Source organism: Homo sapiens, chromosome X (assembly GCF_000001405.40).
Source record: "Homo sapiens chromosome X, GRCh38.p14 Primary Assembly".
Lineage (NCBI taxonomy): Eukaryota > Metazoa > Chordata > Mammalia > Primates > Hominidae > Homo > Homo sapiens.
The window spans coordinates 68,112,176-68,137,010 of record NC_000023.11 but is presented as its reverse complement, the minus strand read 5'-3'; the positions used below and the strand labels follow the sequence as shown (position 1 = coordinate 68,137,010).

The 24,835-nt window shown below is 37.9% G+C and overlaps 1 protein-coding gene and 1 pseudogene across 7 annotated transcripts in view; one reads left to right on the top strand and one right to left on the bottom strand.

Moving 5' to 3' along the window:
• The window catches only part of OPHN1 (oligophrenin 1), a 391,498-nt gene that overhangs the window by 296,831 nt on the left and 69,832 nt on the right, over positions 1 to 24,835 (top strand). For all 7 annotated transcript variants that reach the window (XM_011530961.2, NM_001437258.1, XM_006724653.3 and 4 more), the window contains 2 exons: positions 17,679 to 17,763; positions 23,772 to 23,830. In XM_011530961.2, coding sequence (XP_011529263.1) covers positions 17,679 to 17,763; positions 23,772 to 23,830 — 144 coding nt within the window. The remainder of the gene's footprint in view (positions 1 to 17,678; positions 17,764 to 23,771; positions 23,831 to 24,835) is intronic.
• AKIRIN1P2 (akirin 1 pseudogene 2) lies at positions 3,377 to 4,231 on the bottom strand (annotated as a pseudogene).

Sequence of the window (24,835 nt, the reverse complement as noted above, 5' to 3'; positions counted from 1 at the left end):
GGCAAATGCAGAAGTCACTGTAACATCTTGGCCCATCCTGCCTCATATTGTATCAGTCTTCCCATATGCACTTCCTCATATTCATAATACATATAGTATTCAAGAACTTTATGTACAGCAAAAATATTTTTACACATATTTACTTGTCCATCTAATTTCTTATTCAAAATACTATAACCAACAAATTCGTCACTGTGGTTTAATCACAACACAGAAACATACCACTGATACTATATGCCATGGTTTATAATAAGCACTTTGTAAATTTTTGCTTATTTAAACCTCACATCATGTTTATGAGTTAGGTGTTATTATTATTCCATTTTACAGATGAAGAAAGTAATGCACAAAATTTAAGTAAATTTCAGAAAGTAGACCCTGAATTTGAATTTAGATATTTTGACACTAGGCCAAGCGCGGTGGCTCACGCCTGTAATCCCAGCACTTTGGGAGGCTGAGGCGGGCGGATCACGAGGTCAGGAGATCGAGACCATCCTGGCTAACACAGTGAAACCCCGTCTCTACTAAAAATACAAAAAATTAGCCAGGCGTGGTGGTGGGCACCTGTAGTCCCAGCTACTCGGGAGGCTGAGGCAGGAGAATGGCATGAACTTGGGAGGCGGAGCTTGCAGTGAGCCGAGATCACGCCACTGCACTCCAGCCTGGGTGACAGTGCGAGACTCCATCTCAAAAACAAAAAAAAAAAAAAAAAAAAAAAAGAAAAGATATTTTGATACTAGTATCTGTGCTCTTAAACACTGCCATTTTTACTACTAAAATTGTGACTTGTTACACTTGCCTTTGTTTCTTTGTTATACACACACACACACATATATTTAATAACTTTATATTTAATAATATTTAATTTGATTAAAATTTGAATTACCATATGTAGCCAGTAGTGGCCCTATTGGACAGCACAGATTCCAGCACAACACGTAACTTAGGGATGACACTCAATACATATTTGCTTAAGGAAGGAATGACTCTCAGATTTATTTTTCCAGCTCAGATCTTTCCCTTGACCTTCAGACTTATGTATGTAATTTCTTATTTGGCACCTTCACTGAATTTCTATTAGACATTTTCAAACCATCTATTAGACAGTTCCAAAGACATTTCCAAATAGTTCATGTCCAAAATGAACTATTGATCTTTCTCTCCAAGCATACTCCATCCATAAGCTTCTCCATTTCAGTTTCTTCTACTCTCTCAGACTAAAAACTTTTGTCATGTATGATTTTTGACAGCTAATCTACCAACAAATTCTGTAGGGTCTTATTTCAAATTATATACATAATCTGACCACTTCTAGTCATCTCCACCAGTTTTACTAAAATTTAAGCCACAGCCATTTTTGTTCCATGTTATTGAAATAGACCTTTTATATGTCTCTTTTCTCTGCTGTCCCAGTTACGCTCTTACTGTTGTCTACACAGCAGCTAGACTGTTCTTCTGTATTCAGGCCAAGTCAGAGCAGACCATTCCTCTGTTTAAAACTCACCAGTGGTTTCTCATTTCATTCAAAGTAAAAGCAAAGGTCCTTCCAATAACCCAAAAGGCCTATATAATAGCTCCCGCTCCCCTGTCCAATACCCTATTCTCTCTCTTGGTCTCATCATTTTTAATACTCTCCCTTCTTTATTCCACTTTACTTTCACTGGCTTCCTTATTGTTTATTTTTTTAAGAAGGCAAGGTAAACAAATAGCTTAAGTATTTTTATTTGTTTGCAACTAAGCTTGTTAACACTATATAATGAAAATGTGCAAAGAATAATGTTGCAGTTTTCGGTTAGATTTAAGTCAAAGATATTCATTAATAAGGAATCTTCGAACGTGAATATTCCAGAAATTTCTCTAAGCCATCTGATCAGAACAACTGTCTCTGAGTATTACCTTACTTTGTAAGGTATTGGCATGCATTTGAATTAAACTCAGATTTTTTCAAAATAAGTCCTGATTAAAAAAACTATTCTATATTCAAACTAAAAGAATATAAATAGAACTTTTCCTTTCCAGAAACAATAAAGGAAACAAGGCATTTTGTAAAATATGGTCCTGAGCAAGTTGCAGTAAAAAAATAAATGTATACTTCTACCTGCTCAAAACAGAGGCTACTTTCTTTTCCTCAGTCTTGGAAACAAGGTGAAGAACAGCCTAAATGTGACTTCGGGCAGGCGGTTGCCAAAACAGCTCAAGCAGTTGACCATGGACACCTCAAATGAATTTGGGAGAACCTCACCAAAGGATCCAAATTCTATTTTTAATAACTGATACAAAGGTGAAGTGGCTCTTCCCAAGTAGCAGTGCTGCCAGGGCCTGGCCCTGGCCCAGGCCCAGGCCCAGCTCTGAGCTTACCTGCTATGCTCCCAAGCAAACCATGATCCTTCTGCTCCAGGGCAGACCTTTTCCCTTTAGAGGTTCAGTGTCCAGGGAGCTCTATGATTGTGTGAATGAGGTGAGCGCCGACTCCATGTGAGTATTTTAAGGCTTGGAGTCAAAGTATTTTTCTAACACGCTTAGGCAGAGTCCATGTGTCAATGGCCCATCTCCAGTTTGTTCTAATTTCTCACCACACATTTGTAGATATTTCTCACCACACATTTGTAGATCTAGGACCACAGACCTTTGCTGTATTATCATAATCACAGCTAATGTCCATCCTAACTTATGATTCATATTCTATGCCTGGAAACAGTCCCTGTATTTAACAATAAAACCTACACATAAAAACAATCCACTGTTGCAACTTATATGGTCACAAAACGTAAATGATCTTCTGTAGAACAAGCAATTTTTTTTTTGTTTTTTGTTTTTATTTATTTATTTATTCTTTGAGACAGAGTCTCACTCTGTCACCCAGGCTGGAGTACAATGGCGCGATCTTGGCTCACTGCAACCTCTGCCTCCCTGGTTCAAGTGATTCTCCTGCCTCAGCCTCCTGAGTAGCTGGAACTACAGGTGCCTGCCACCATGCCCAGCCAATTTTTGTATTTTTAGTAGAGACGGGATTTCACCATATTGGCTAGGCTGGTCTCAAACTTCTGACCTCAGGTGATCCAAGCACGTCCGCCTCTCAAAGTGCTGGGATTACAAGCGTGAGCCACAGCGCCCGGCCAAGCAAATGTTTTTAACCATAATTGTCATGAATCAAGCTCAGCCAGAATCCCCAAGATCAAAAAAAAATTGCACTATACAAATAATAACTTGAAATATACATACACACGCTCTCATACACACTTCTTACAGAACTGTGCTTGGGGAAGCTCCATTTGTTGAGTGCCACTGAAGGCATATTTTGCTAAACTGCTTCTCCAAGTATTTTGTTTTGGAAAATCTATCACAGTAGGGCACAGCTGTTTACTGGATGAGCAGAAAAAGGGAGATATGCTTGTGGCAACCAAAAAGTTTTAAGGTCTTTCAAGTTGTATAAAATGGACCTACAGAAACGTTTAAGTGTTCTCAGGATGCAAAATTGAAGCTGAAATGTGTTGTCAAACCAGTTGCAAAAAGTGTACAGCAGGCATCTCTTGAGGTTAAACCTGGTACCCAGATACATAACAAAGCTTCAGGACACATGGCTTGTTGGCCTTGTCCCATACCGTTGCATAATCTGATCATGTGTGAATTTCACAAAAGATTCATTCATATTGTTCTGCTAGTTTGGTATTGAGGATTTGCTCATACTCCTCCTGAATCTTGTCTTCATAGTCTAAGACACACTCACGTATTATTCCGATTTGTCAGAGGGTAAATGTGGGCTGGTCCTTCTTCATCCATGAGGAACCTGGAGAGCTAGGTGCTATGAGTGCTGAGGAGTGAGGTTGACTTTCTGAAGCACAAGCTTCACTCTGATTAAGAACAATTTCTAAATGTCTCCACCTCTGATAACGACTGTATTCTAGTTTTATGTTCTGAAAAATTTTCTCCGGAATTGTAAGGCGCCGCTTGCTGCCGAGTGGGGCGGACTGCTGCAGAGTTGGCGGTAGGGTCTGCGTCTGAAGCGGCGGCGGCTTGGCGTCCGGGGGCCTGAGGCCCGGAGTGGGGCTGGGCAGAGGGGTGCAGCACGGCTGCTTCGGGGAAGCAGGGACTCAGCAGCTTTGTACCGAAGTCCATGGGCCGCTTCAGCGTCGCCTGGTTCGCCAGGTCGCTGACGGGCCAGGGACCGGGAGCGGACTCGGGTAAGTGCGGCCCAAGCTCCGGCTCCTCAGTGGGGCTCGCCAGCCAAGCCCTATTGTTTCTTTTTCTTTTTTTCTTTTTTTTTTTTTTTTGACACTTAGTATCTCAACATTTTATTATTATTTTTTTTTAATTATACTTTAAGTTTTAGGGTACATGTGCACATTGTGCAGGTTAGTTACATATGTATACATGTGCCATGCTGGTGCGCTGCACCCACTAACGTGTCATCTAGCATTAGGTATATCTCCCAATGCTATCCCTCCCCCCTCCCCCGACCCCACCACAGTCCCCAGAGTGTGATATTCCCCTTCCTGTGTCCATGTGATCTCATTGTTCAATTCCCACCTATGAGTGAGAATATGCGGTGTTTGGTTTGTTGTTCTTGCGATAGTTTACTGACAATGATGGTTTCCAATTTCATCCATGTCCCTGCAAAGGACATGAACTCATCATTTTTTATGGCTGCATAGTATTCCATGGTGTATATGTGCCACATTTTCTTAATCCAGTCTATCATTGTTGGACATTTGGGTTGGTTCCAAGTCTTTGCTATTGTGAATAATGCCGCAATAAACATACGTGTGCATGTGTCTTTATAGCAGCATGATTTATAGTCATTTGGGTATATACCCAGTAATGGGATGGCTGGGTCAAATGGTATTTCTAGTTCTAGATCACGTATTTCAAAATAATAAGAGCTATCTATGACAAACCCACAGCCAATATCAGACTGAATGGGCAAAAACTGAATTTTCCTCTAATCGCCTCATTAAATGTATCCCACAGATTTTGATATGTAGTGTTTTCATGATCATGTTTTAAAGACATTCTGTGATTTTAATTTGTATTTCTTTCTTTAAAGAATTATTTAAGAGAAAGCTTATAATTTTCCATGCGGAATGGACTTAAAAAGTGATTTCTAGCTTTATCGTAGTATTATTATTAGACAATGTTTATAACATGTCAACTTTATGGAACTTACTGATGTTTTCTTTGTAACCTAATATATGATCACTTTTTGTGAGTATTTCATGTGCAACTGAGAAGTATAGTCTCTATTACCGGGACATAAAATATGATATATATCTGTAAGATTGTTATTTAAGTCTTCTACATCTTTACTTACTGTTTATCCACTTGATTTGTTGTTTAATGAAAATGATGTGTTAAAGTTTCTTTTTAGTGTGCTTTTATATACATCGCCTGTATTTTTGCTTTATAAAGGTGGTGTCTGTATTACTTTATGCACAGATATTCATAATTGCCATATCTTTATTTGGAGAATGGCTTTTAGCATTTAAAGTGTTCTTTGTGGCTGGGCACAGTGGCTTATGCCTGTAATCCCGGCACTTTGGGAGGCCGAGGTGGGCGGATCACTTGAGGCCAGGAGTTCAAGAATAGCCTGGCCTACATGGTGAAACCCCGTCTCCACTAAAAATACAAAAATTAGTGGGGTGTGGTGGGCACCTGTAGTCCCAGCTACTCGGGAGGCTGAGGCACGAGAATCGCTTGAACCTGGGAGGCGGAGGTTGCAGTGAGCCGAGATTGCACCACTGCACTCCAGCCTAGGCCACAGAGCAAAACGCCCTCTCAATAAATAAATAAATAAATAAATAAATAAATAAATAAATAAATAAAAGTGTTCTTTGTTTAATTTAATGCTTTTTGGCTTGAAATCTATTTTGTCTGATATTGATTCCATTTGCCTGGTAGACTTTTGACCATTCCTAAATTTTCCTCTTTTGCTTCACATTCCTTTAAACTCCCAGACTTCACAGGGTATCTCTCCCTTATTTTTTGCCATCTTCTCTCTTACAAATGATACCTTTCAAAGTCTGCCTTTTGACAACTGCATAGAAAGCTCTTCCCCAAGGCTCGAATCTACCAGTTTGTCATTATTTTTACGCTTTGTGTGGACTTTGTCTTTCTGGTTGTGATTTAGATTACTCTTAGGCTACTAGCCCCTTCTTTTCTCATTAACTCTCCTGTTTCAGCATTGTCCTTGCTCCCTGGAAAGACTTGAAGAGGGAATATGAGTGATATCTTGCTGAGATTTCTTTTTTTTTCTACTTACAATTTAATAGTTAAGTCTTTTATTATGTGGGTGTTTTCTTTCTTTTTGTTATGTGAAGGGCATGGCTTTATGTACTTTTATGTTGTTCTGGTGGCTCTATATTGTTTTGTGGAGGATATGTTTGGAAATTTTGATTTACATAGTCACCATTGTCTTAACATAATATTTTCCATATGGTTAAAAATACTTTGTAAATATTTTAATGGCTATATACTATGATACAAAAATATACCAAATTTTTCCAATAATTTCCCTCTTTAGTATGTTAGTTTTTTCCTTTTATGTGATGACGTATTTGTGCATAAGTTAATTCCACTACATACTTTGGGTAGATTTGCCAAAATATAATTTTTGCCTCAAGGTTATAAATATTATTAATAATCTTGACATAGTTTGAATACAGGGAGAATCAATTGGCATATGGATTTATATTAAGCTGCTAACTAGGGTAGCCTCCATCCTTTTTTCAGGTAGCACCTTCCTCTTTTACATATATATCATGAGCCTGGCCTGAAATAGCTAGTAGGTACCAGTGTGGCTGTTTCTGGTGTTTACAGCCAGCATCTCTGTTGAGTGATAGAACTTTGTGCCAATATTAGTTATTAAGTATTTGGAGATCTTCCACCTCCACAGATTATAACATTTGTTATTCTGTGGTTGGATTTTCTTTACTTAGGACACACACTTGTGTTATATTCAGCAATAACAAAAGAACCAATGGCCTTTCTTTCAGCTGTCCTTTAGTCTGGCATCCCTGGATTTTATAATTGAAGAAGAGGGGTGATATTTAAGAGCCCAAAATACAACTGGCAAGACCTTAACTTGGAGAAACTAATCAATCCTCACATTAGTCATTACTGCTTTTGTGGCTTATGTCAGAGCATGATGGGCTTATTTCTGCTCACGCTTTCTGTTAGTCACTTGTTTTTCCTCTCACTTGATCTGTTTTATCAACTTCAGTTAATCAAAGCTGGGCTTCCTATTCATGCAACTAGATTTTTCTCAGTAATATTATATTATCTACCATTTCCTGAATTAATTGAGACACTCTGACATGATCTGTGTACTTTAGGTAAGCCATTGTAACTTTCTATAGTTGTTTTGTTTGGTTTGCCTCTGAATGTAAAAATAGCATTGTGTGAGAACACATTTGAGAGTGGTGGTTAGGGTCTTTACCAATATATTTTCTATGATTATTTTTACTTTCAATCTTATTATTCATCACATTACATGGTAGATGGCTTAGCAATATTTAGACAGTAATTCCACAAACCACTTTCATCCTAGAATCACCTTTGAGACATTATTATTTTTTTAAATGCAAACTGCCAGGCCTCATCATGGACCCAATGAATTAATCTCTTGCATTGGGATCCAGAGATCTGCATTTTAAACATCTGCCCAAGTGACTCTCATGCAGTTTGGTACCTGACTGTAGACTTATTTTTGAGATGCAAAGTTTAATGCATACCCTACCAAATCATGACCCCAGTGCACCTCTTAAGTGGTCATCTCTGTGCTAGTTTTTAGAGCTTGTCACCCTTGCTGTATATACATGGCATGCTCCAGGGTGCATTTAAAGCGTTATTTTCTACATATGTTTAGAAGTCATTCCTTAACCCAATAACCTATTAAAATCCACTTATGTTTTATTTGTATTATTTAGTGGTTTTATTTTACATTTTATCTCCTCCATGCACTTGAAATTGAATATGTTGTTTGGTTGTGAAATAGAGATCTAACTTATTTTTTTCCCAAATAGTTAATTGTCCATGTTCCATTTTTTGAACAATTCTGCTTTTTTTCCACCAATTTAAAATGCCGCTTTTATTGTACATTAAGTTCTTACATTTATACGATGGTCTTATCGTGAGCTTTCATTTTTTCCACTGACCTAACTATTCTTATACTACTATGACCATGCCACATAATCATTTTCCTTTTGAGTAGCACAAACCTTCCATAATTATTCTGTTTAAAAAATGTTTCACTCATTTTGCTAGTTTATTATTCCATGTAAACTTTAGAATTATTTTATCACATTCCAGAAAATTAGCTTGTTGGCATTTTGATTACAATTATACTAAATCTATTAATTAATTGGAATGAAGTTGACAACATGCAATATTTAGTCTTTCTATCCAGGATCACAAAATTTTGTTTTTCATTTACGGAAGTCTTTTTGTGTGTGTAATACTTTTATTTATATTAATTCTGAGACTTAAATAAATCACTCTCCTCTCTCTCTCTCCCACACACATACAGTGCAACTGTTTTTTTCTATTACAATTTTGAAGTGTCTGTTACTAATATATAGGATGCTTATGATTTTTATATCTTCATTCACTGACCAGGAATTTTAACAGGCTTCCTTGTTAATGTTAAAAACATTATCAATAGGTCTAAGCATGGTGGCTCATGCTTGTATTCCCAGCACTTTGTGAAGCCAATGCGAGAGGATCGCCTGAGCCCAGGAGTTCTAGACCAGCCTGGGCAACATAATGAGACCCCATCTCTACAAAAATTAAAAATACAAAAATTGCTGGGCATGGTGGTGCGGGCCTATAGTCCTATCTACTCGGGAGGCAGAGGAGGGAAGAGCCCTTGAGCCCAGGAGTTTGAGGCTGAAGTGAGCCATGACCACACCATTACACTGCAGCCTGAGTGACAGAGTGAGACCCTTTCTGGAAAAAAAAAAAAAGTATCAGTAATTTCTCTTGCATTTTTCAGTTAGACAGTTATATGATAGGTAAATAATGATTATTCTATCTCCTTTCCAATAGGTTTAACTTTTCTGTTTTTGTTTCTTTTTAAAATTACATTGAGAACCCAGTTCCTCACCACCTTTGCTGTTCATTAAACTCGGTGAAGAGTTTTTTAAAAAGTATCAGGACTCACCTGAATCAGAGATTCTGGTTTACCTGATGTAGGGGGAATGTGGGTATTGTCATTTTTAAAAGCTTCTCAGATGTTTCTAGAAGCTGTGTTTGAGAATCATTGTTCTAGACACTCTGACCAAATGATAAGTAGTACTAGTGATAGCAGACATCCTTTTCTGGCTTCTGATCATAAGCTTCTAGTATTGCACCATTAATGGTGATATGAGCTGATCATTTGAGATTGACTCAGTGGTGTGTTGGAGGCAGCTGGTACCTGCTCAAAAGGTGTAACTGTACACATATTTTCCCAACTTCACATTCATTGACATTATGTTGATCACTTCAAATCAGCCATGGTTGATTCACATGGAAATTGACAAATGCTAAAATCAGCGCTCCCCACCTTCTCTGTCAACCTGTTCATTATTTGCCAGCACATCACAGTAGATCTTTATTAGCTTAAAGAAGTATTCTTTTTTAAAAAAAAGAAAAAAATAAGAAGTATTCTTTTATTATTAGGCTATGAATAATTTTTGTCCTTCATTATCATTTGCATTTCATTGCAACCACCTTTTAATCACATTGTCACCTTATATCAGCCACGTTCTAAAACCTTGTGTTTCTCACTGTAAATGCTTTTTTCCAGAGGGATTCCTGTATTCTGATTCTTCAGAGAGTTTTCCTTCTATTAAACTACATTGACTTTTCCTAAACCTAATAACTCTTTTTATGGAGGAAACTTTTTTTCTTCTTCATCTTCCCTCCTCCTACCCTTCCTGTCCTCTGATACTCACCAGTCTACTCTCTATCTTCATGAGATCTACAGACCTAAGAACCTTTTTAGTTTGTTCTTTTGGTTGGTTTATAGACAAGCAAGAGTCAAATTTGAGTTTGTAAGATATCAGTGTGAGTTCTTGCATAAAAATTCCAGATACAAATGAGTAAAAAAGTTTAAAATTCTTCTAATAATCACTGCTGTGGTGAGCCACGGATTCAGAAGGTAGGGTGTTTGGGTGGAAAAGAGTGGTTCACAGTGACCAACCTAGAGGAAAAGATGGACTGCATGTTCTTCAGGCAATCCTCTATGAATACTGTCTTGTCACAAAGATGTATGTAAGAATTACAGACTATGGCCGGGCACAGTGGCTCATGCCTGTAATCCCAGCACTTTGGGAGGCCAAGGCTGGTGGATCCCTTGAGGTCAGGAGTTCAAGACCATTCTGGCCAATATGGTGAAACCCTGCCTCTACTAAAAATACAAAAATTAGCCAGGTGTGGTGGCACGCACCTGTAATCCCAGCTACTCAGGAGGCTGAGGCACGAGAATCGCTTGAACCTGGTAGGCAGAGGTTGCAGTGAGCCGAGATTGCGCCACTGCACTCCAGCCTGGGCAACAGAGTGAGACTCTGTCTCAAAAAAAAAAAATTGAATTGCAGACTATAAATCTGGAATTGCCATTCTCTGAGAAGTAATTATAATGTACAAATCACCATCTAGTCAGATAAATGTAGACCAATATGCTATACAATCAAGCTGAAATTGGAGTTGACAGTGTCTTGTGAATATTAGGGATCCTAAACAGACACATGGCTAAATTGGTGTTTATTTTCACTGAGAATGGAACAGGCCTTGGGCAGGGCCATGCTTTTTCTATACCCAGATTTTTGAGGGTTTTTATCCTGAAGGGATATTGAATTTTGTCAAATGCTTTTTCAGTAACAATTGAAATTATAGTATGGTTTTTGTCCTTCGTTTTATTGGTATGATGTACTGTATTGATTTATTTGTGTATGTTGAACCATCCTTGCATCCCTGAGATAAATCCCACTTGGTCATGATGAAGGATTTTTAAAATTTGTTGAATTTGGCTTGCTAGTATTTTGTTGAGGGTATATATGTGTGTGTGTGTGTGTGTATGTATATATATATATATATATATATATATTGATCAGTGGTTATGGCCAATAGCTTTTTGTTTGTTTGTTAGTTTGTTTTTTTGATGTGTTTTGGTCTGGTTTTGGTATCAGGGTAATATTGGCCTCGTAGAGTGAGTTTGGAAGTACTCCCTCCCCCCTCTATTTTTTCAGAATAGTTTGAATAGGTTTAGTATTAGCTCTTCTTTAAATGTTTGGTAGAATTCAGCAGTAAAGCTATTGGGTCCCAGACTTTTCTTTGCTGTTAGACTTTTTATTATGCCTTTGATCTTGTTCCTTGTTATTGGTCGGTTCAGGTTTTGGATTTATTCCTGGTTCAATCTTGGTAGGTTGTGTGTGTCTAGGAATTTATCAATTTCTTCTAGTTTTCCAATTTATTGGCATATAGTTCCTCATAGTAGCCACTAATTACCCTTTGAATTTCTGCAGTATCAGTTGTAATGTCTCCTTTCTCATCTCTGATTTTATTTATTGGGATATTCTCTCTTTTTATCTTAATCTGGCTAAAGGTTTGTCAATTTTATGTATCTTTTCAGAAAACCAACTTTTTGTTTTATTGATCTTTTTGTATTATTATCATGTCAAATTCATTTTATTTCTGCTCTGATCTTAATTATTTCTTCTACTAATTTTGGATTTGGTTTGCTCTTGCTTTTCTAGTTCTTTAAGATACATCATTAGGTTATTTATTTGAAGTTTTTCTTTTTGATGTAGGCATTATAGCTATAACCTTCCATCTTAGTACTGCTTTTACTGTATCCCATACGTTTTAGTATATTACATTTCCATTATCATTTGCTTTAAGAAAATGTTCAGTTTTCTTCTTAATTTTACCATTGGCCCACTGATCATTCAGGAGGATATTAATTTCCATGTGTTTGTATAGTTTTCAAAATTCCTCTTCTTATTGATTTCTAGCTTTTTTTTCCATTGTGGTCAGAGAAGATACTTGATATTATTTCAGTTTTTTTGAATGTTTTAAGACTTGCTTTATGGGTGGGTGCAGTTGCTCACGCCTGTAATCCTAGCACTTTGGGAGGCCGAAGTGGGCAGATCGCTTGAGTCCAGGAGTTCAAGACCAGCCTGGGTAACATAGTGAAACCCTGTCTCTACTAAAAGTACAAAAAGTTATCCAGGTGTGGTGGCACACGCTTGTAGTTCCAGCTACTAGTGGGGGCTGAGATGGGAGGGCTGCTTGAACCTATGAGGCTGAGACTGCAGTGAGCCACTGCATTCCAGCCTGGGTGGTGGAGTGAGACCTTGTCTCAAAAAAAAAAGACTTGTTTTGTGACCTAACATATGGTCTGTCCTTGAGAATGATCCATGTGCTGAGGTGAAGAATGTGTATTCTGTAGCCATTGGATGAAATGTTCTGTAAATATCTACTAGATCCATTTGGTCCATAGTGCAGATTAAGTCGAATGCTTCTTTGTTGATTTTCTGTCTGGGAGATCTGTTTAATGCTGAAAGTAGGGGTGTTGAAGTGTTTAGCTATTATCCTATTGAAATCTACCTCTCCTTTTAGCTCTAATAATATTTATATGTTTGGGTGCTCCAGCATTGGGTGTATTATATTTAAAATTGTTATTTCCTCTTGCTAAATTGACCCCTTTATCGTTATGGGGTCATAATGATCTTCTGAAGATTTAAAGTAGTGAAGGGAAAAAAAAAACTTTTATTCTAGAATAGTATGTCTAGTGGAAATGTCCTTCAAACATGAAAGAGAAATAAAGACTTTCCTGACAAACAAAAGCTGAGGGATTTCATCAATACGAGATCTGTCCTACAAGACAGATGATCTTCTTTGTCTCTTACAGTTTTTGTCTTGAAGTCTATTTTTTCTAATATAGGTATAGCTACTCTGTTCTTTTTTGGTTTCCATTGGCATGGAGTATCTTTTTTCCACCCTTTTATTTTCAGTCTATGTGTGTCTTTACAGGATAAATGTGTTTTTTGTAGGCAAGAGTCATTTGATCTATTTTTTTTTATCCATTCAGCTACTGTATGTCTTTTGATTAGAGAGTTTTGTCTATTTATATTCAATGTTATTATTGATAAGTAATGATTTACTCCGTCCCATTTTATTATTTGTTTTCTGATTGTTTTGTGGTCTTGTCTTCCTTCTTTTCTTCCTGTCTTTTTAGTGAAGTAGATTTTCTCTAGTGGTATGATTTTAATTTCTTCCTTTTTATTTTTTGTGTATCCATTGTATCTTTTTTGATTTGAGGTTATTAAGAGGTTTGCAAATTCTCTCTTATAACCCATTATTGTAAACTGATGACAACTTATAACTGATAGCATAAACAAACAAACAAGGAAAAAAGGAAACTAATAAAAACTTTACACCATAATTTTTTCTGCCCACTTTTCAGTTTTTTGTTGTTTCCATTTATGTCTTGTTGTACTCTCTATGTCTTTAAAGTTGTTGGAGTTATTATTTTTGATTGATTCATTGTTTAGTCTTTCTACTTAAGAGTGGTTTACACATTACAGTTACGGTGTTATAATATTCTGTGTTTTTCTGTGTACTTACTATTACCAGTGAGTTTTATATCTTCAGATGATTTCTTAGTGCTCATTACTGTTCTTCTCTTTCTGAATGAAGTACTCTCTTTAGCGTCTCTTGTAAGATAGATCTGCTATTGATGAAATCTCTCAGCTTTTGTTTGTCTTGGAAAGTCTTTATTTTTCCTTCATGTTTGAAGGACATTTTCACCAGATATACTATTCTAGGGTAAGAGTTTTTCTTCTTCAGCACTTTATGTCATGCCACTCTCTCTTGGCCTGTAAGGTTTCCACTGAAAAGTCTGCTGTCAGACATATTCGAGCTCCTTTTTATGTTACTTGTCTCTTTTCCCCTTGCTGCTTTTAGGATCCTTTTTTTATCCTTGATCTTGAGGAATCTGATTATTAAATGCCTTTAGATATTCTTGTTTGGGTTAAATGTCTCTGGTGTTCTATAACCGTCTTGTACTTCAAAGTTGATATCGCTGATACTATCCCACTGAATAAGCTTGCTACCCCTGTCTCTTTCTCTACCTCCTCTTTAAGGCCAGTAACTCTTATATATGCCCTTTTGAGACTATTTTATAGATCCTGTAGTCATGCTTCGTTGTTTTTCATTCTTTTCTCTTTTGTCTCCTCTAAATGTGTATTTTCGAATAGCCTGTCTTCAAGCTCATCAATTCTTCTGCTTGATCAATTATGTTATTATAAGACTCTGATGCATTCTTCTGCATGTCACTTACATTTTTTAACTCCAGAATTTCTGCTTGATTTTTAAAATTATTTCAATGTCTTTGTTAAATGTATGTGATAGAATTCTGAATTCCTTTTCTATATTATATTGAATTTATTTGAGTTTTCTCAAAATAGCTATTTTGATTTCTCTGTCTTATATGTCACATACCTCTGTTTCTCCAAGATTAGTCTCTGATGCCTTATTTAGTTCATTTTGGAAGGTCATATTTTCTTGAATGGTCCTGATGCTTGTGAATGTTCATCTGTTTCTGGGCATCTAAGAGTTAAGTAGTGTAGTCTTTTTAGTCTGGGCTTGTTTGTACTTGTCCTTCTTGGGAAGACTTTCCAGATATTTGAAAGGACTTGAGTGTTTTCATCCAATCCATATCTGCATTAGAGAGCATCCCATACCCAGTAATTCTGTGGTTCTTGCAGATTTGTAGCGGTACCACCTTGATGGTGTTGAATAAGATCTGGAAGACTTCTCTGGATTACTAGGCAGAGACTCTTGTTTTCTTTCCTTACTTTCTCCTTTTACTTTTAAAGTCCACTTTTACTTTTCCCTCTACTTTTCTGAAGCAGAAGGAGTCTCTCCCCACAGCTACCACAGCTGGGAACGTGTTGAGTCATACCTGAAGCCCACAAAGTTTCGTCTAAGGCCCAATGAGTACTATCTGGGTTTTGCTTCTGGTTATTTAGGGTCCAAAGGTTCTTTAGTCAGCATGTGATGGGTCCTGCCAGGACTGGGTTCTTCCATTCAAGGCAGTGGGTTCCCTTTTGGCCCCAGGTGTGTGTAGAAATGTCTGGGAGCTAGAGTCTGGAAAAGGGGCCTTAGGACTCTGATGAGTGCTCTAGGCTACTGTGGCTGAGCTAATATACAAGATGCAAGACAAAGTCCTCTTTACTCTTGCCCCCTCTTTTCCTCAAGCAGAAGGAAGGGGTATCTTTTGGAGCCTTGAGCTGTGCTGTGTGGGGTGGTGCAAGGACTCCCATAGCCACCATGGCTGGTGTCTCAGTAGGTTGCATGCCTCCCAAATTCACTGGCTCTGAGCCCAGTTCAACACTAGGACTAATATAAGAGTTGCAGTCCTTGTGGCTTAGAGTGCCCTTCAAGTTTATTTAGGGATCCAGAGCACTTTAGCCTGCAGTGTCAAGGCTTAGAACTAGGATGTGTGATTCCCCTCTAGCTAGGGCTGGTTTAAATGCTCCCTGTGTGGGTTGTCCTTAGCTGAGTTCAGCCTGATTTTGCTTTCTTCCATGTGACAGGGTAGCACGGAGTTCAATGCAGTGTCTCACAATTGCTGCACTCTCTCTTTCTGAAGTGCACACATTCCAGTGTCTCTTTTTTTGGAGAAATGTTTGCTCATATTTTCTTACCCATTTTTTACTTGGGTTATTTGTTTTCTTGTTATTTAGTTGTTTGAGTTACTTCTATATTTTGGATATCAGCCCCTTATCAGATTTATGGTTTGCCAATGTTTTTACCCAATCCGTGGGTTGTCCCCTCACTGTGTTAATTGTTTCCATTTCTTTGCAGAAGCTTTTTAGTTTGGTGCAATTCCATTTGTCTACGTTAGCATTTGTTGCTTGTGTCTTTAGAGTCTGATCCAAGAAATCATTGCCCAGACAAATGTCATGGAGCTTTTCACCTATGTTTTCTTCTAGTAGTTTTATGGTTTCTGGTCTTACATTTAAGTCTTTATTCATTTTGTGTTGATTTTTGTATACAGTGTAAGATAGAGTCCAATTTCCTTCCGTATGAGGATATCCAGTTTTTCCAGCACCATTTACTGAATAGAGTATCCTTTCCCTGTTGAGTGTTCTTGACACCTTTGTCAAAAAATCAATTAACTCTAAGTACTTGGGTTTACGTCTGGACTTTCTGTTCTGTACTATTGGTTGATTGGTCTGTTTTTATGCCAGTACCATGCTGTTTATATGTGATTATAATAACTTCATAATATATTTTGAAGTCAGAGAATGTGATACCTTCATGTTTTTTCCTTTTGCTAAAGATTGCTTTGACTATTCAGGGTCTTTTGTCATTTCATATGAATTTTATGATTATCTTCTATTTCTGTGAAAAATGACATTGGAATTTTGATAGGAATTGCATTGAACCCAGAGAAAGCTTTGGGAAGTATGGACATTTTAACAAGATTAGTTCTCCTAATCCATGAACATGGACTATTTTTTCATTTATTTGTGTCTTCAGTTTGTTTTATCAGTGTTTTATAGTTTTTAGTATAGCAGTTATTCACTTCCTTGACTAAATTTATTCCTAAGTTTTTTCTTTATTTAATACTATTGTAAATGGGATTGTTTTTGAAATTTTTTTCAAATAGTTCATTGTTAGTCTGTAGAAATGCGACTGATAGAGGCTAAACATTACTCTGATGTTCTTGTTTTTGCCTCCTCTGTTATTTTTGGTTTGGCCTAAAGACTTAAATATCATCTGAGAAGCACAGTTCTTTTAGTCATATTTCCGTGGTTACATATGAGCCCAGTTGATACGGTGGTAAGGTGTCATGGGTGGGGAGGTCTTCTATAAGATTATGTCTCTGTCTTTTAGTGAGCTGTGCCCCTGGCCTGTGACTTACTTAAGTTCTTCTCAGGAATTTTTTTTCCCCCTCTTGGGAGAGATGGGAAGGCAAATTGGGTCTGGAATTCGGTATTTCCCTTCACCTCGTTCGCTTAGGTTCTGATAAAACTCCAGGAGGTTTTGATCTGGTAAAAATAGTTTCTCTTGAGGGAAGACCTTGTTAAGAAGAAGAGAAGGGTCTGTGAATATTTTTAAATGACTACTTATCTTTCCCCCCTGCTGGAAGCATGAGGGGATTTTTCACCATCAAAACTTGATAGGACTCTTGTAGGTAAAACTCACAAAAGTTTGGGAGCCCCTTTTGGACTGGGCCCTATTGGAGTTTTTACCTCTCAAATCCGAGCATATTAAGCCTCCAGCAATTTGTAAATTACAGATTAGGTTATCCTATCCCAGTGCTGGTTCGCAAGGAGTTTTCTACTCCTGGCCTTCTGTTACTGTAAGATTTGGTTCTCTCTATCTATCTCCTCACTTCTGGGGACAGCCATTTACCCTATGACCCCAGTTATCTGATGAATCTAAGAAGAGTTGATTTTGTTTGTTCAGTTTTTTCTTGTTGTGTGAATTGGATAGATTACTTTCTTATTTCTTATATGGCAGACCAGAATGCAGTCATGTTTTTGAAATATCAAAGATTTGCTTCTTCTAAAGTTTTGATCTCTTAAAAACTACTTAGGGTAATATACTTTGTTTTTCTTTTAAAAGAGGGAAAATGTAAGATTTTTTTGATGATTAACTTTTGTTTTTTGTTTACTTTTCTCAAATAGATCCTAAATGCCCAGGAGATGTTGATTTTCATAATAGTGACTGGGACATTAAGACAATCACCAGCTCCTTGAAATTCTACCTCAGGTATGCCTGATTTGAATTGGGAGTTTGCTTTTCATAGCTGGTGAAATTTCTCTGGGTGTTGAGCGGAGTTAACGTGGTCTCAGTTCCAGGAGTTTGGATAGAATTGCTTAAGAAAAAACATGTGAAGAGGATTTCTGGCCAAGAATGTGCAAAGACTGTTTTTTAAATCTGAGAGTTTAAGCAAGAGAAGCATAAAAATAATAGAATTGTTACTGAAAAAAGGCTAAAAAGATTATGTTCAAAAAACATGCACTTGAAATAATTGAATACGTTTTGCTCTTCACAGATAGAGTGATGTTGTGATGGATTCACTAGTAGAATCAGGAGCTGGGACTATTCAGGGTGGCTAACATGTTTTAGAGGATAATAACCATTTTGAAATGTCAAATTGCATTTGGGCAAAAATGGTATATGTGTGTGATGTGCTACGTATCATGTCTTAATCCAGGTAATGGAAATAAAAACCAAGAAAATACAACTGTAATAATATTGGAGCTAAATGAACTGTCAGCAGTATGGAAAAAAGTTAGCTCACCAACAAAATTTGGGAATGTGCAATATTAATGAATATATTGTTCAGTTTATTGGCATAAATTTATATTATGCAAAAGGTGCTTAAGACATATATATTTTTTAAACACATTGATTTCTTACCACTCTTTATGTCTCATAGTATGTATCATACTTTATGTGCAAAAGCCTCTTCTTTTCAATGATTGTGTTCTTGAGCCATTAAGATTGATACATAAGTTCTGGGAAATCTCATTAATCTAAAATAGATTGGGTTTCAGATATTACTGTTAAATATTTTGCTACTGTAGCATCATCTTAGAGCTTTCCATAAACTTGAATGTTCTTTCCAGGAATATTTCTCCTGCATCTGCTGATAAAGAAAAGAACTGTTATTGGAGGGTTTATTCTGTACTAGGCTACGGCTAGTTGTTTACACTGATAGTGTCATTGTTTTTTTCTCCCATTAACCGAGTGTACTAGGTGGTACTTGACTCGTTTTGCAGATGAGGAAACCAAGGTGCACCACTTTCTCCATTAAGTAATAGCCATGGTCCCAGCTTGTATTTTTTAAATCTCAGTGTCTCTGACTTATAAGGCCCCTGGTACTGGGGCATCTTCTTCTCCTGCCCCCTACTCCCAGGAGCTTTGGCCTTCTTTGGATGGCTTGGTAATTTAGTAAAGACAGAGAGCAATCTGTTACAAATACTTTAAGAAGACTTGTTGTGATGAGAATAGTGGGAATAAGTGATTCTGTATCTCTAGCTTCCTTCAAAGGAGTCTCAACATTTTCTTAGATTTGTAAGGCCTTCCCCACATTGCATTATTCCCAGCTCATCCTATAATAGGCAGGGTGGCCCTTTTCAAAGATGAGAGGGTCAAGCCTGAAAGTGCGAGTGGGCGGCACCCCCAGTAAGTGATATTTGTTCTCGAGACTCTCATCCATGGTTCTGTAATATATACCAGCCAGTAAATACCCTATAGAATTCTCAAAGATAGCTGTGTTCCAGGACAGGTCTCCACACTCTGTTCTAGGTAACTAAATCACCCCTTATCTCTAACCTTTCCAGAGAAGTCCTCTAAAAATCATCCCTTCTCTCTCCCCTATTTTTATCCTCTCTCATTCAACTGGCTCTTTTTCCGAGTATGTAATTATGCTCCAGCCACATACATCTTTAAATCAGTAAATGATTCAGTAAAAATATCTTGACTGCTTATTCTATGCCCAGTGTGATGTTAAGCACTAGGCAAACAGTTGTGTATAGATATGGTCTCTGACCTTAAAGAACTTATAGCCTAGTAAAGGGGACAGTCAGAAGACAAATAATCATACAAATGTAATAAACTCTAATAAGTACTCTGAAGGAAAGGTATAACGTGCTATGAAGGCATTTAATAGGAAGACGTCACCCATTTTGGTTTAAACTGAGGTTTGAACTGTAAGTTGGAATCAACTAAGTAGGAGTTGGGTTCCAGACAGAGGGAAATGAATACGCAAAGACTTGAGGCAGGAGGGAAGAAGGCCCCTTCAACAAACTACATGAATCAGTATAGGGGGAGTATTGAGTGTAGAGAGGGAGGGAGAGGTATGTAAGGGCCATATCATTCATGGCTTTAAAGGATCTTTTAAAAATTAGGGTCTAAATTTATCTTAAAAGTAATGGGACTATATTGAAAGATTTTAAACATGAGGTGCATATTGAGATTTGTATTTTGAAATAAAAAAGGATGGAGATTAGATTACAGTGATATAAAATGGGCAGAGATGTGGAAATCAGTTAGCCGGCTATGGCTGTCGTCCAGGCAAGAGATGATGCTCATGCTTGGACTAGGGAGTAGCAGTAGATATTCCTAGAAGTAAGCATATTCAAGAGATTTGGGAAGTACAATTCATGAATTGGATATGAGGATTAGGGATAGGGAGACAAAAAGGTGACTTCCATGTTTCTGGCCCATACAACCAAATGATGGTCATGCATTTACTGATTTGAGAAACACAAGAAGACTAAGTTTGAGGGAGGCAATAAGTTGGAATTTGGATATGTCGAATTTGGGTAGCTTTGAAGAAATCAGGGCACAATATTAAGCAGGCAATTGAATACATAGGTCTGAAACTCAGTGATGAGTTCAGGGCTTGAACTAAAAAATTGGTGATCATTGACCATATAGATGATAGTTACAGCCAGGAACTTAAACAAGATTGCCTAATGAGATACTTTACTCGGTGAGGACTAAACTCTGATTTTTCATCTTGCCCAAATTCCTTTCTAAGGGGTCTGGGGAGTCATGCCCTCCAAGCCATAAATTCTCATCAGATGGGTTTTATTTAACCTTGTATATCATGACTTACTTTCCAATCTGACTCTGGCATAACAAGGGAGAAAATGAAAATGTTTTATCCCAAAATATATTTTCTTGCCATACCTTGAAATTGCCCTGCAAAGTCTCTTGTGGGAAAAATCCACATTCTATAGAGAATCCCCTTCCCCCATTGTTTTCCTTCATTTCTTTCCAGATCCAGGAGATAATCAACTAAGAGCCAGGTGCCCTTTTAGGTCTAATAAGAAACATTTTACAACGTACTCTCTCTAAAGTCTGGTATCTGAGAGATTCCTCCACACAATAAAACTTGGTCTCCACAATCCTTTATCTTAACCTGAACATTCCTTTCCATTGATCCCGGTCGTCAGATAAACTCAACCAATTGTCAACCAGAAAATGTTTAAATTTACCTATAGCCTGGAAGCCCCCACTTTGAGTTGTCCTGCCTTTCTGAACCAAACCAATGTATTTCTTAAATGTATTTGATTGATGTCTCATGCCTCCCTAAAAATATGTAAAACCAAGCTGTACCCTGACCACCTTGGGCACAAGTTCTCAGGACCTCCTGAGGGCTGTGTCACAGGCCATGGTCACTCATAGTTGGCTCAGAATAAATCTCTTAAAATATTGTACACAGTTTCACTCTTTTTGTCAACATCAGCCAAGCTTCTGTGTCAAGTAATATACACTCCTGGTCTGTACTTCTTAACTCCCCAGTTCCTTCTTAACTCATTGTAATCTAACTCTTACCCCCTCTGCTCCAATGAAGCTGCTTTTGCCAGGGTCACCAGGGATACCCTCAATGCTGCACACAAAGCACAGTTGTCAGTCTTTACCTTACTTGACCTTTTTGTAACATTTGAAGTTGTTAACAAGCCTTCTTTGATACTTTCTTCTGTTTTGGATTCTGCTGAATCACTTGCTTTTTGTTTTTCTCTAACCTCTTTGGTCATTTTAGTCAATCTCCTTTATGGGCTTTCTATTTGGTATTTTCCTGGGCTCTCTGCTCATTTTACTATAGTAGAACAACTGAAAACTGAAATATCTACAGGGACCAGGAAATAAAACTGAATGAAGTAGACTATTTTCATATTAAACACTTTGCACATTGAACCTTTATTTGTATGACAAGCCCTTTGTTTACATACAAACAGCAGTGTTGTTTACTTCTACAAAGAACCAATAGAGCCAGATCTTTGCATTTTTCAACAGGGACAGGGGATATGGGTTTGTATATGAAATATCTCATTTTAAAATATTTTGATCATTGATTCAATTCCATTTCACTTTTATACACTGTGCTGGACAAAGAAGAAATATCGGAAGACCTCATGTAGCTGTTTGACTGCCAGTTTGCCAGCTCCCCTGGAGAAGTGGCATCTGTTCTTGTGGTTTCGTCATCTGTTCTCTAGGTTCCTGATTTTCACATCTGCTTCTCTGATCTAGCAGAGCCCTGCATCCAGCTTCTTAGTAGATATCACCTTCCTGAGGCCTCCCTGACTTAGCATCTCTACTTCCCTCTTAATCAACTCTTATTCTATTCACTCACCCAAACCAAACTGCTCCCTTGCCATCATACCCAATCAAAGAAGGAGTTCTTTCTTTAATATTTTTCAAAACAGTCTCCTCACCTATTCTTTCTATGCTTTGTCACCCAGGCTGGAGTGCAGTGTTGTGATCATGACTCATTGCAGGCTTGCCCTCCCGCCACACCCTTCTCTCTCTCAGGCTGAAGCAGTCCTCCCATCTCAGCCCCTTGAGTAGTCTGGACTACAGGCACGCACCACCATGCCCAGCTACTGTTTTTAAGTTATTTTTAAGAGGTAGGGGTCTCATTCAGTTGTCCAGACTGGTCTCGAACTCTTGGGCTTAAGTGATCCTCCTGCCTTGGCCTCCCAAAGTGCTGGGATTACAGATGTCAGCCACCATGACTAGCCCCTCTGTTTGTCTTTTATTATCTTTTGCTTGGATTACTACAGTAACAACAGTGGCAGGCAGTATAGTATAGTAATTAAGAGCATGGACTCAGGAGACAGACTTCCTGCTTCTGCCACTTATTAGCTGTGTAATTTTGGATGAGTTTTTAACTTCTCTAGGCCTCAGTTTCCTCATCGATGAACTGGAAATGGTACCTACCTCACAGAGTTGTTATGAGGTTTAAATGGGTTAATACATGTAAATCACTTAGAGCAGTACAGAGTTTGCTATTCTTATAATTATTAGTTGATTACTTACTTCCTCTGAGCCACCTACCATATACCTTTATTTTGTCATCGTACTTGTCCCACTGCATTGCAAATTTTGTGTATGGTGCTCTTTTCTACTAAACTATTAGCTCGTTGGAGGTTTGGACTATTTCTATTCATCTCTGGATCCCCAGTACCTGGCACAATGCCAGGTACAAGTAAATGCTCAGCCAATGTTTTTTTTTTTCTTTTTTTTTTTATTATTATTATACTTTAAGTTTTAGGGTACATGTGCACAATGTGCAGGTTAGTTACATATGTATACTTGTGCCATGCTGGTGTGCTGCACCCATTAACTCGTCATTTAACATTAGGTATATCTCCTAATGCTATCCCTCCCCCCTCCCCCCACCCCGCAACAGTCCCCAGAGTGTGATGTTCCCCTTCCTGTGTCCATGTGTTCTCATTGTTCAATTCCCATCTATGAGTGAGAACATGCGGTGTTTGGTTTTTTGTCCTTGCGATAGTTTACTGAGAATGTTTTTTGACTAAATGAGTAAACCCATTTGAGCCTGAGTTTCCTCCTCCCGTAAATGGGGATTTGAATAACTGCTCCACCTCACAGGATTATTGGGAGGACAATTGCAAAAGCACTTCGGAAATTCTAAGGATCTATCAAATCGTAAGGGATTCATGGTAGCATTCAGCATGGGTCCCCTCTGGAATTTTGCAGGACTGGTTTGTGCCTCTTTTTACTTCTGGGAGCTAGTTGGAGACCTTGCTAGAGGGCTCAGCCCATGCTTTTGCAGGTCTTTTGTTGAATTACTAGCAACTTGGATTCCCTGACGAAGCTTCAGGTGAAGAGAAAAATGTATATAATCCCACTAAGCTGTAGGGCTCAGGAACTTCAGCCTTGCTGTCCCCAGAACTAAGAATCCAATACCCAGCTGCTTTCTTCCCAAAGCAACTGACAATTTTCATTCATTTCAGGAATCTTTCTGAACCTGTCATGACCTATAGACTTCACAAAGAGCTGGTCTCTGCTGCCAGTAAGTATTTATGTTACTAATTAACTGTGTTGTCCTAGTTTCTTAATGTTTACTGCAATAAGCCTAGAAAATTGTTTGAGGGGAAGTGATTGAGGGCACAGAAACCTAAAACACATACACAAATTATGCACAACTGCCAAATGAAAGTATTCTTGCTTGCTGTCTAACTCAAGAGTTCTATTATTTTTCATAATTAGTGTTACTTAAGTGGGCTTGAGAAAATTGGTTAACTTGAGGGTTGTGTGAATATAAAGGCTTTATTTATATATGTATTCATTGCCTCTTCCATCAGAACAAGAACATTGGCTCACATTACCAGGGGACAGAAAAATGGTTACACGACAGTTGCCGTTTCAACTTCCTTCAGCATTTTGCCTGTTCAAATGCTTTTCGACTGTGTTGTGAACCATTGTCCTTAATCTGTTAGTGCCAGCATCACATTTTCTAGATGAGAAAACTGAGGGAGAGGGCGTCAGTACATAGGAAATAAGGCATAGAGAATCACTCCCAAAAGTTGGCGATTAAAGAAGCATTGAAAGTTTTGGCTGAGGCCACTGTATGAGTGCCCCTCTCCACCTCAATGTGACCCTTATTCTGCATCATATCCTGTGTGGTGTAGAGGAAAAAGATTCAGGGGACTTAACATCATAATGCGTCTTTGTTGAAACAAGGGAGCTTTGTTCTTTACTTCTGGGCTCTCTCAGTGATTTTAACAGGAATCCAGAGGCAGCAGCACACTTCTCAGTACCACAAGGAAGGTGGATGGGAATAGGTTTCCAGCTGGAAGTTTATCTGTGAGACTTCAGGAACAACCTGCTGTGCTCAGAGTTCTGACTCCCTCTGAGACAGTCTTCTCTTCTCATCCTTCTCTTTTCTATCTTCTATTTTCTACATCTTTTTAGACCTGTTTCTTTGTGTGTGTTTTTTTTCTCTTTTTCTGCCTTTTTTCTTTCTTTATGTCTTTGTCTTTGTTTCTGGGTCTCTAATTTTTATTGTATTTCAGTG